The following is a 9712-nucleotide window of genomic DNA, read 5'->3' as shown; positions in this document are numbered from 1 at the left end:
TAAAGACTCAAGTTATTACCTGCCTCTCTCGTTCTCCTTCTACCTCTACCTCCACCTCCAAAGGGGAGGATTTATGTCCTTAACATAGAAGACCTTTTGCCAATGCTCTCATTTAAAAACTCAGGTGTCTGCTAAAATGAGCTACAGGAGGGTCACCTCCTCCCTGTGCATGAAGTCCCAGTGTCTGGGCTGCCAGCACAGCGGTCAGGAGCAAGACTGCCCTGGCCCTGGTGTTGGGCAAGTCGAGATACCAACTTCGATAGCATCCATTAAGGCATTGCCTGCACTGGGCCCAGCACGCTGCTCTGATCCCATGAAGAAGCTCAGGTCCTGGCCTGAACGCATACTCTCTAAGTAGGCTAGGTAGATGGGGGCCTCAGAGATGACTGGGGAAACTGAGGAGGGAGTAATAGTGACCTTTGAACTATTCTGACCACTTCAAATGGCCTTAAAGAGGCCCCTCATCTATCTGAAATTAACCTGTATAGATCAAAATGCCCAGCTTTTTGGTTCTTGGCTGGCAGTACACGGTGTCCTGGCAGCCACTGTGCTTATTGATAAGCATCTTTTAAAGGAATGAGCAAATTTTATGCTGGTTGTAGGCTCCAGGTGGCAGTTTTGCATATTTCTGCTGTATGCTCAGGGAAATTATTTATTCCCCCATTAAACGTACTGTTTATAGGCAACAGTGTTTTTGTTTATTCGTTTAGACATTTTTTCCTTTTTTTCCAGCATTCTCTGATCTGGGAGGGCAACAGCTTTTAAAACATGGACTCATGACAGGATGCGGGGGAATAATAATCACAGCTAAAGCTTATGTGGCACCTACTGTGTACCAGGGAATGCTCTAAGCACTCCCGGCAGTTACTCATCTTCATTACAACTCTCCAAGGCAGCTTCCATTTCTTTCCCATGTTACAGATGAGGAAACTGAGGTGCAGGGAGGTTTAAGATCACTCGGCTAGTAAGTGGCAGAGACAGGATTTGAACCCAGGCTGAGTGGTTCTGGAGTTCACACTCCCAACACCAGAATATGACTGCTTCTCCAAATAAATGAACTAATCAGAATAATATTAGAAAGAAAAGAGTGATGAAAAGGTTGCTTATTAGTGCCCAGGGTCAATGTCCTCTCTTTTTTTTGAGATGGATTCTCACTCTGTTGCCCAGGCTGGAGTGCAGTGGTACAATCTTGGCTCACTGCAACCTCTGCCTTTTGGGTTCAAGTGATTCTCCCACCTCAGCCTCCCAAGTAGCTGGGATTACAGGCGCCAACCACTATGCCTGGCAAATTTTTTTTTTTTGTATTTTTAGTAGAGATGGGGTTTCACCATGTTGGCCAGGCTGGTCTCGAACTCCTGACCTCAAGAGGTCCACCCGCCTCAGCCTCTCAAAGTGCTAGGATTAAGGTGTGAGCCACCGCACCTGGCCATCCTCTTTTTTTGAAGTGAGGAAACTGAGGCCAGATGAGCAGTGAGGCACCCATGCAGCCAGCCAGACTCAGCTCTGTGCCCTGTGGCCTGCTGCACCCTCTCCTGACCTCCATTCTTGCTTCTTCACTGTGCTGCCTCCCCACAAGGCAACCCCCTGCCGACCTTCCTTGTGCCTCAATGGGCCAACCAGGTGCCAGGGACTGAGAGGTGCAGAAGAAACAGAGCGGAGTCCGGCTCTGAAGGGACGACGGAGAGTGGTGAAAGGTTTGCTCATTAGTGCCCTGGGTCAAGGTCCTCTTTTTTGTTGTTGTTTTGTTTTTTTGTTTTTAGACTGAGTTTCAATCTTGTTGCCCAGGCTGGAGTGCAGTGACGCGATCTCGGCTCACTGCGACCTCTGCCTCCCAGGTTCAAGCGATTCTCCTGCCTCAGCCTCCAGAGTAGCTGGGATTATAGGCACCTGCCACCACGCCCAGCTAATTATTGTATTTTTTGTAGAGATGGGGTTTCACCACGTTGGTCAGGCTGGTCTCCAACTCCTGACCTCAGGTGATCCACCCGCCTCAGCCCCGAAGTGCTAGGTTTACAGGCGTGAGCCTCTGCACCCAGCTGGTCCTCTTTTAAGTGAGGAAACTGAGGCACAGATGGGCAGCAAAGCGTCCAGGAGCAGTGGGATAGAACGTGTTCTGGGCTGGGTGCAGTGGCTCATGTTTGTAATCCCAGCACTTTGAAAGGCTGAGGCGGGCAGATCACTTGAGGTCAGGAGTTTGAGATCAGCCTGGCCAACCTGGTGAAACCCTGTCTCTAGTAAAAATACAAAAATCAGCCGTGGTGGCACGTGCCTGTAATCCCAGCTACTCGGGAGGCAGAGGCAGGAGAATCGCTTGAACCTGGGAGGCAGACGTTGCAGTGAGCCGAGATCACGCCATTGCACTCCAGACTGGGTGACGAAGAGAGACTCTATCTCAAACAAACAACAACAAAAGAATGTGTTCTGATCCCGTGTTCAGAGCAGACGTGTTCCATTAAGAAAACAGTGCACTTGTTGCTCTGAGTCCTTTCCGTGCACGTCCTCTTGCTGCGTGCAGGTGCTTTCGTCTGCATCACCCTGTTCTGTCCTCATGAAACCCTGGTGATGCAGGCTCAGCAAAGTGGAACTGACCATATTTACTCAACACCTAGAGGCCCAAGGTGCAAGGTCAGAGGGACTACAGGCTTCGGAGAGGAGAGGGAAGCACACCACACTGAGATTTCAACACTGTTTCCTATGGGGATACCAGAGCTGAGTTCCAAAAAAGTCGTACACACTTCTGGATCAGAATCTGCTGGGAGCTGCCAGCAAGAAATGAGGCTGGCGAGATCGAGTGGGGACTCAGCTGTGCTCTTGGCAGGCAACAGGGTTTACCATTTTCTGTAACAATTGTTCATCTATTTTAGGTGGGACAATGATAGTATGGTCATATTTTTTAGTTAAGAATATTTATCTTTTAGAGGTTTGTACTCGAGAATTTGAGGGCTGGGCGCAGTGGCTCACACCCGTAATCCCAGCACTTTGGGAGGCTGAGGCAGATGGATCACCAGAGATCAGGAGTTGGAGACTAGCCTGGCCCAACATGGTGAAACCCTGTCTCTACTAAAAATACAAAAATTACCGAGCATGGTGATGCACGTCTGTAATCTCAGCTACTCGGGAGGCTGAGGTATGAGAATCGCTTGAGCCCTGGAGGCAGAGGTTGCAGTGAGGTGAGATTGCGCCACTGCACTCCAACCTGGGGGACAGAGCAAGACTCCATGTCAAAAAAAAAAAAAGGAATTTGTGGACATAACGGTAGGATTTCTGAATTTGCTTTAAAATAAACAGTAGGACTGGGCAGGAGTGGGTAGGAACACAGGCATACACCTTGGCCCTAGCTCCATAATGGTTGATGTTGAGTTTTGGTTGTATAGGCCTTTATTATACTATTCTGGTTAATTTTTTTCAAAGGTTTGGATTTTTCAAAATATTAGCCAGGCATGGCGGGACTTGCCTGTGGTCCCAGCTACTCAGGAAGCTGGGGTAGGAGGATTGCTTGAGCCTAGGATGTCAACACTGCAGTGAGCTGTCATTTTGCTACTGCCCTGCAGCATGGGCAACAGAGAGAGATCCTGTTTCAAAAATGAATGAATGAATGAACGAATGAATAAAAAGGTTTGGATTTTTCCATAAAAAAGTATTTTTTGAGTAAAAAGAGAAATCTTAGCGGTAAATAAAAACATTACCTGCATTAAAAAGAAAATTTTTCTTGTAGCTATGGTAGGCAATTGCTACAGTATTCAAACTGGGGCAGAATCTGTAAAAAACAAGGCTTGAGAAAGATTACTCTAGTTTCAGAGGCAGACATGGAGACGTTTTTGGCCCCAGGGAACTGAGGCTCAGGCCCGGAGCTCCCCGGGAGGCCTCGTTCTCTGCTTCTTTATTAATAGACTCAGCTACGCAGCCGCGGGAGCCGCAGACCCGGGCAGGAGAGCTGCAGCGTGGTCGGCGGGAGGGGAATAAGGCCTCCCCAGTGCGGCTGCAGTTGCAGGCCGGCGCGGGCTCGTTGCAGCTGCCGAGAGCCCGGCCACCATGGCACAGGTGAGCGTGGCGCCTCGGCGTCCCCACAGACTGGGTCCCTGTCCCTGCCCCGCCCGGCCTGCAGGTGGCACCTAGGCGGCGCGCAGGGAAGGGCGCACGGTCAAGGCCGAAGAGCCCTGGGAACAGACAGGGCGCGGGGCCAATCCCAGCTGGGCGCGCACCGGGGCGCTGAGCGAGGGAGGAAATGACCTTGGAGCGGGGACCTGTCGGTGGCTGAGGTTCCAGGGAAAGGAGGGAAGGGCATTTGCGGTGAGAATGACAGTCCAGCTTCCGTAGTGCAAACCGCGAAGGCCCACGTGCAAGGAGAGCCTCACGCGCGAGAGCCGCCCGGGCTCGTGGGGTGCAGCCGCGCGTCAGGAACGTGTGCCCTGGCCCAGCCCACTGGCCTCTTGGGGCGGTGAAATCTGCGGGGGTCGAGTGCCTGGGCTCACTGGTGGTCCAGACAAGCGCAAGCAGGGGGACAAACCCCCAACTTCTAACCTCAAAGAAATGCAAATTAAAAGGAGAGATGAGAGATTCTTCCCTCCCCCACCCCTCCTTTTAGGATTGGCAAAGATTAAAATAATCCATAATCGGAGACAGGGCCCCGCTTGCACGCGCGGGTGGCAGTGGAAGTTGGTAAACTTTTCGGCATGGTAGCTTGGCCTGTGTCACCAAAATGTCGCACGTGCCTGGTTGCTTCCCCTCCAGGGATCTATCCTACAGGATAATCAGGAGCTCCAGGAGGTACATCGACGGCCAACGCAGCTTTTATTTATACCTGCAATGGTGGGGTGGGGGGCGGGGAGGAGGCCCTAATTGTCCAATGGGGGCCGCGTAAATGGATCACAGCATAGTCAAAGGAAATCTTATGCAGCCTTGGGAAGGCCGGTGGTCATCTCCGTCCCCCAGCAGAGACCTGTCTACGACGTAAGCCAAGTGAAAACAAAACAGCCTTACAGACAGCTTGCATCCTAGCCTTCCTTTAAAACAGCGAGCCCGGGAACCGCAGGGAGAGTTAACTGCAGCGGTGGTGGGGGGCGGGATCAAAGGAGAACTTTCATTTTCTCTTCTAAATTCTTCTGCGGTAACAACTAAATGATACAGAAAGAAGGATGGTTGCAAACATGGATTTTTTCATAACTAGAAGAAGTGGTCGAACTTAAAAAGAGCAGGGTTCATAAAAGAGGTTTAAAAGAGTCTTTGTTCATAACATCGGTGCATTTATGGAGCACCTGCTGTATGCAGAGCCGCCAGCTCGCGCCTGGAAGCATTGCGGGCAAAGATAGGGGAGGGGTGGCTCCCGGTCAGGAAGACCCCCTTGGCCCTCCTGTTACGCTTGGGGCCCCTCTCCCTCCCCCTCAACCCCCTGGGTCCCCTGCAGCTGCGCTCGCCCTAGACTCCTGGGACCGGTGGATGTTCAGTTCCCGCTCCCGGCCCCTCTCCCGAGCTCCAGCACAAGGGTCTCTCGGTCGCTCTGCCCTGGCCTCCAGCTACTCCTCTCCCAGCACCTATTATGTTCTTGACGCTGGAAGAATTATTTTAGTAAATCTCACCAAAGCCCCCCAAGTGAGGCATTTTTATCCTAGCTAGATGAGGAGGAGCCACGCTGCCTCTGGATCGCGATGACTGCCACTCGTGGTATAAGGTCTGATTTGGGGCATGGGCTGTGGAATCAGATCTGGACCCAATGTCCGATCTATCACTTCCCCGCGCTTTTTTTTTTAGAGACGGGGTCTCGCTACGTTGCCCAGGCTGGCCTCGAACTCCTGGCTTCAAGCGACTTCCCGCCTCCCGAGTAGCTGGGATTACAGGCGCGCCCCACCACTCCCTGTGGATCGGTTGCTTCTCAGCTCGGTGATGTGGGGTAACTTATTTCCTGGCCCGCGACCCTTGTCTGCATGAAAGAGTCAGGGGTGAATACCATCAGGGGGTGCCTGGAGCATTACACGGGGCAATGCCGATAGATAAGTCGCGAGGATCAGCCAGGCACGGAGCTAAGCGATTTTATGCGCACGGCCTCCACGAGATGGCTCGTTTTACGGATGAGGAAACTGAGGCTCGGAGGGTGAGGAATCTCGTCCTAGACCCCATTCCGGCAGAGGTCGAGGACGCGAGCACCCGCTCGAGCCTCAGTTTCCCTCCCCTCCTAGCCCCGCGGACGCCCCGCCCCGCCGAGGCCCCGGGCCCGCCCTCCGCGCGCCGGGAGTCACCCGCCTGCAGGCGCCGCAGCCGGACCCGCCTCAGCCAATCCGCTGCTGCCGGCGTCGGGTGCGCTCGGCCTCGCCCGCGGCCCTCCTTCCCCGGCTCCCGCTCGCCGCTCGTTCACTCCACCGCCGCCGCCGCCGCCGCCGCTGCCGCTGCCGCTGCCGCACCTCCGTAGCTGACTCGGTGAGGCCCGGTCGCCCGCGGTGGGGAGGGTGGCGGGGCGGCCCTGCGGGCTGCGGGGGCCGGGGACGGGCGGGGCGCGGGGCTGCCGGGAACCGGACCGGGTGGGGGACGCCGCCGGAACCGGGGCGCCGAGAGGAACCCCGGTATTCCCCCCGGACGGCGGGGTTGTGGAGATCCTGAACCCAGAAAGAGGCCGGGGCTCCCCATGTTCCCCAGGGGATTGGGTCTGAGGGTCCACCGGGGGTCGGTCCATCCGCAGGCGGGTCCCGTGCGGCCGCGGGAGGGATGCTCGGCCCTCCGGACTTGGCTGGACGCCTCCGGCCCGGGGCCAGCGGGGCCACCGGCTCCCTTGTCTCCCACTCCTTAATCCGCCCTGGACTGGATTGAGTCTGAGGGTCTGCCCAGGGGTCGGTCAGCCTGCGGGTGGCCGCGGGAGGGATGCTGGACGCTCTGGATGCTTTCCAGGATGCCTTCGCCCGGGGCCAGTAGGGCCTCCGGCTCCTGTCCCTGCCCATCCCACCCTGGCTCTGGAGAGGATTGGGTCTGGGGGTCCGCCCGTGGGTTGGTCACCTACGGGCAGGTGCAGTGCGGCTGAGGGAGGGGTGCTCGGCCCTCGGGATTCGGCAGGGCGCCGCTGACCCCATCCCAGCGTCCGTCTCCCCGGTCCCCCTCCCCATGCCCGCCCTCGCGGTGCAGCCGTCGGGACACGCCCTTGGCGCAGGGACTCCAGGCGCGGTCCGAGCGCTGCCGTGAGCAGGATGAGGGTGCCGGGCCCAGTGCCTGCTTGGGAGCGCCCCGCAGCCTCTCCCGTGCAGCGCTGGGTCAAGGGCGGGTGGGCGCGGAGCATGTGCCCAAGGTCGTGCCGGGCTGGGAGCGGCGGGGCCGCGGGAGGGTGGGGGTGTCACGTGGCCGTGCCCTGGCGAACTTGGCCTGCGAGCCCGACGGTGCGGTCAGGGCCACGCGGGGCAGCCCCTTCTCGGAGCCACCGCCGCGGCCAGCCAACAGCCGGCTTCTTTCGGTTTGTCAGGAGAGGCCATGGGTCAGCGTCTTTATAATGTAAATCCGCCCTTGGCTTTCGTTAAAGCCGCAGAACTCAAAGATGAGGGCCGATCTTACTTTAAAAAAAGAAAACAACTCAGAGAGTTAAAAATCCCAACTACCTACCAGGTTAAATACATAACAAAGTTAATATTCCCAACTCGGCACAGGCTTTCGGTTCCTCTCGGCTCCGTGTGTTATAAAATATTTAAGGGCAGATTTTAGTAGGAAGCTGGTAACTTTGTAAGTTACCGAATAAAATGAAAATCGGTTTTACCTTTTGCAACGTTGTATTTTGTTACACCATTTTCTTCCACAGGTGTCCGGTTTCTGGTCATTCCAGATATGCAAGCATGTTTATTTCATTCTAAGCCACAAACCAAGTGAATAAAAAATGGCTGAGCACTGGTCTTCTATTTATGCCAGGAAGCACCCCCACCCCCGGGCCTTTCCAAATTCTTTAAGGCGACTCTGACCGAGTGAACGTAGCAATAAATTGAGGACATAAGTGTCGCTGAGAATGCACACCGCTGAGGCCAGCGAACATCCAGCTGTCAGTTGGTCTGGGGACTATCAGCATTCGCAGCTGGTTCTTTGGATTGGTTTTGCCTCAATACCAAGAGCCTGTGGACTGCTTTTCGCATGTAAATTACTGGTTTCCTTCCTGTGAAGCATTGCTAGCCTAGACCTTGCACTTGAACCCTATCTTAACAGTTGGAATCAAACAATAAAAAGGGCCAGGTTTGGGAGTGCACACACTTTGTTTCAAAGTGGCAGAAGTTGGCATCATGCACAGGCCAAAATAACGTTTCGAGTTGGTACTAAAAACAAGCCGCCTACCCTGGAGGGGAAGAGAATTAAACTGGGTCCCTTCCGATACTGCTGCGGCTGCTGCGTTTGGCCCCGGCCCCGGACCAGTGGTCACCGAGCGGTCAAGTTGGGCCTCCGGGGAGCCCTGGAACGAGGGCCTGCCCTTACCCAACCCTGGCCCCGAGTGCTCATTCATAAAAACACCGTCAGTTTTCACTGAGGCTTCACAGTGAGCCCCTTTTAGACGCGCCCTGGGCTCTTGAGCGCGGTGCCTGCGTTTCTGGCTCGTTGGATGCAGCATCTGTCATCAGAAGCACTGAGCACCGAGCTGTCCCCACAGCTGGGCACCGCAGGGCTCGACCTTCCCACGGAGAGGTGCGTTGCATTTCTCCCGCTGTCGCTGGGGTGGCCACAGGGACGCGCGCCAACTCGCTCCGGAAGGTCTCTGTGGGCACGGCGGGTGGAACAGGATCCGAGCGCCTGGGACGCGCCAGCCTGGGGGCGGGGCTGCTGCTGACCTTTCCCCTACTTTTCTCAGCCGTCACGTGACGCCGCCCGGGGCTTGGGGGAAGGGGCGGGGCGCGAAGCCGCAGTTGCTGGCGGTGCCCTTCCGAGGACGCTTTCCAAGCGAGCAATTAAACTTGCTGCCCGAAATCTAAAGGCGCAGGGGCGGTGGCAGCGGCGGCGGGAGGCGGAAACCGGAGCCTGCGCGGGCCAAGGGCTGCTTCTGCACTTTGATCGTTTGCATTTTTTCCTTTGTTGGAAAAAATGTTTAGTCACTCTGCATGGTTATTATTGGCAGGCCAGAATTCTGTTGCTGGTGGAAGCCTGAACTTGAATTCCGGAAGAATTGGTGCTTTAAGAATTAAAATGGCTGTTCGAGATTGTTTGTTTAAAGTGTGTTGGAGAGAATCTCTCGAGAATCTCTCCAACACACTTTAAAGAGGCCTCACTTGTCTTCTGCCAGTCTTGAGCTTTTCTTGTGAAGACTTTTGTTTTGTTTTGTTTTTACAAATAAGCGATATAAGCATACGATGCAAAGTTAAAGAGGCACAGATGGGCCCGGCCCCGTGGCTCACGCCTGTAATCTCAATGCTTTGGGAGGCCAAGGTGGGAGGATTGCTTTGAGGCCAGGAATTCGAGACCAACCTGGGCAACAGAGCCAGACCCCTGTCTCTACAAACAATTAGTAGGGCCTGGTGGAGTGCATCTGTGGTCCCAGCTACTCAGGAGGCTGAGGTGGGAGGATGGCTTCAGCCCAGGAGGTGGAGACTGCAGTGAGCTATGATTGCACCACTGCGCTCCAGCCTCGGTGACAGCCAGACCCTGTCTCTGTTTTTTTTTTTTTTTTTTTAAAAAGGTGCAGATACAGAGTAGAGTCCTTCTCACTTGGTTCCCCTCTCCAGATGCCACCACTATTACCAGTTTCTTTGACGACATGTACAGGATATGT

General features: G+C 54.9%; 1 protein-coding gene across 10 annotated transcripts in view, besides 10 other annotated features; it reads left to right on the top strand.

Annotated features, from left to right (window-relative positions):
• Positions 3909–9712, top strand: part of CPT1A (carnitine palmitoyltransferase 1A) — an 89658-nt gene continuing 83854 nt past the window's right edge. For 6 of the 10 annotated variants that reach the window (NM_001031847.3, NM_001440365.1, NM_001440364.1 and 3 more), the window contains exon 1: positions 6270–6411. The gene's annotated coding sequence lies outside the window, so the exon portion shown is untranslated. Of the gene's footprint in view, positions 4042–6269; positions 6412–7768; positions 8635–9712 lie in introns of those variants that run through there. The other 4 variants (NM_001440360.1, NM_001440359.1, NM_001440363.1 and 1 more) reach the window with 2 other exon arrangements.
• Positions 4239–4448: an enhancer, noted in NCBI's record as "active region_5144". NCBI's record gives its function as "activates an Ori minimal core promoter by ATAC-STARR-seq in GM12878 lymphoblastoid cells {active_cell/tissue: GM12878}" and the evidence as "EXISTENCE:reporter gene assay evidence [ECO:0000049][PMID:35858748]".
• Positions 4489–4628: an enhancer, noted in NCBI's record as "active region_5143". NCBI's record gives its function as "activates an Ori minimal core promoter by ATAC-STARR-seq in GM12878 lymphoblastoid cells {active_cell/tissue: GM12878}" and the evidence as "EXISTENCE:reporter gene assay evidence [ECO:0000049][PMID:35858748]".
• Positions 5351–5876: an enhancer, noted in NCBI's record as "H3K4me1 hESC enhancer chr11:68609778-68610303 (GRCh37/hg19 assembly coordinates)". NCBI's record gives its function as "activates a minimal SCP1, AML or CMV promoter by ChIP-STARR-seq in naive H9 embryonic stem cells {active_cell/tissue: H9 hESC(naive)}" and the evidence as "EXISTENCE:reporter gene assay evidence [ECO:0000049][PMID:30033119]".
• Positions 6022–6381: a silencer, noted in NCBI's record as "silent region_3684". NCBI's record gives its function as "represses an Ori minimal core promoter by ATAC-STARR-seq in GM12878 lymphoblastoid cells {active_cell/tissue: GM12878}" and the evidence as "EXISTENCE:reporter gene assay evidence [ECO:0000049][PMID:35858748]".
• Positions 6402–6451: a silencer, noted in NCBI's record as "silent region_3683". NCBI's record gives its function as "represses an Ori minimal core promoter by ATAC-STARR-seq in GM12878 lymphoblastoid cells {active_cell/tissue: GM12878}" and the evidence as "EXISTENCE:reporter gene assay evidence [ECO:0000049][PMID:35858748]".
• Positions 6662–6741: a silencer, noted in NCBI's record as "silent region_3682". NCBI's record gives its function as "represses an Ori minimal core promoter by ATAC-STARR-seq in GM12878 lymphoblastoid cells {active_cell/tissue: GM12878}" and the evidence as "EXISTENCE:reporter gene assay evidence [ECO:0000049][PMID:35858748]".
• Positions 7002–7101: a silencer, noted in NCBI's record as "silent region_3681". NCBI's record gives its function as "represses an Ori minimal core promoter by ATAC-STARR-seq in GM12878 lymphoblastoid cells {active_cell/tissue: GM12878}" and the evidence as "EXISTENCE:reporter gene assay evidence [ECO:0000049][PMID:35858748]".
• Positions 7152–7431: a silencer, noted in NCBI's record as "silent region_3680". NCBI's record gives its function as "represses an Ori minimal core promoter by ATAC-STARR-seq in GM12878 lymphoblastoid cells {active_cell/tissue: GM12878}" and the evidence as "EXISTENCE:reporter gene assay evidence [ECO:0000049][PMID:35858748]".
• Positions 8085–8244: an enhancer, noted in NCBI's record as "active region_5142". NCBI's record gives its function as "activates an Ori minimal core promoter by ATAC-STARR-seq in GM12878 lymphoblastoid cells {active_cell/tissue: GM12878}" and the evidence as "EXISTENCE:reporter gene assay evidence [ECO:0000049][PMID:35858748]".
• Positions 9485–9564: a silencer, noted in NCBI's record as "silent region_3679". NCBI's record gives its function as "represses an Ori minimal core promoter by ATAC-STARR-seq in GM12878 lymphoblastoid cells {active_cell/tissue: GM12878}" and the evidence as "EXISTENCE:reporter gene assay evidence [ECO:0000049][PMID:35858748]".

Source organism: Homo sapiens, chromosome 11 (genome assembly GCF_000001405.40).
Source record: "Homo sapiens chromosome 11, GRCh38.p14 Primary Assembly".
In the NCBI taxonomy this organism is placed as follows: domain Eukaryota; kingdom Metazoa; phylum Chordata; class Mammalia; order Primates; family Hominidae; genus Homo; species Homo sapiens.
The sequence above is the reverse complement of the archived record's forward strand: the minus strand, read 5'-3'. Positions and strand labels throughout refer to the sequence as shown.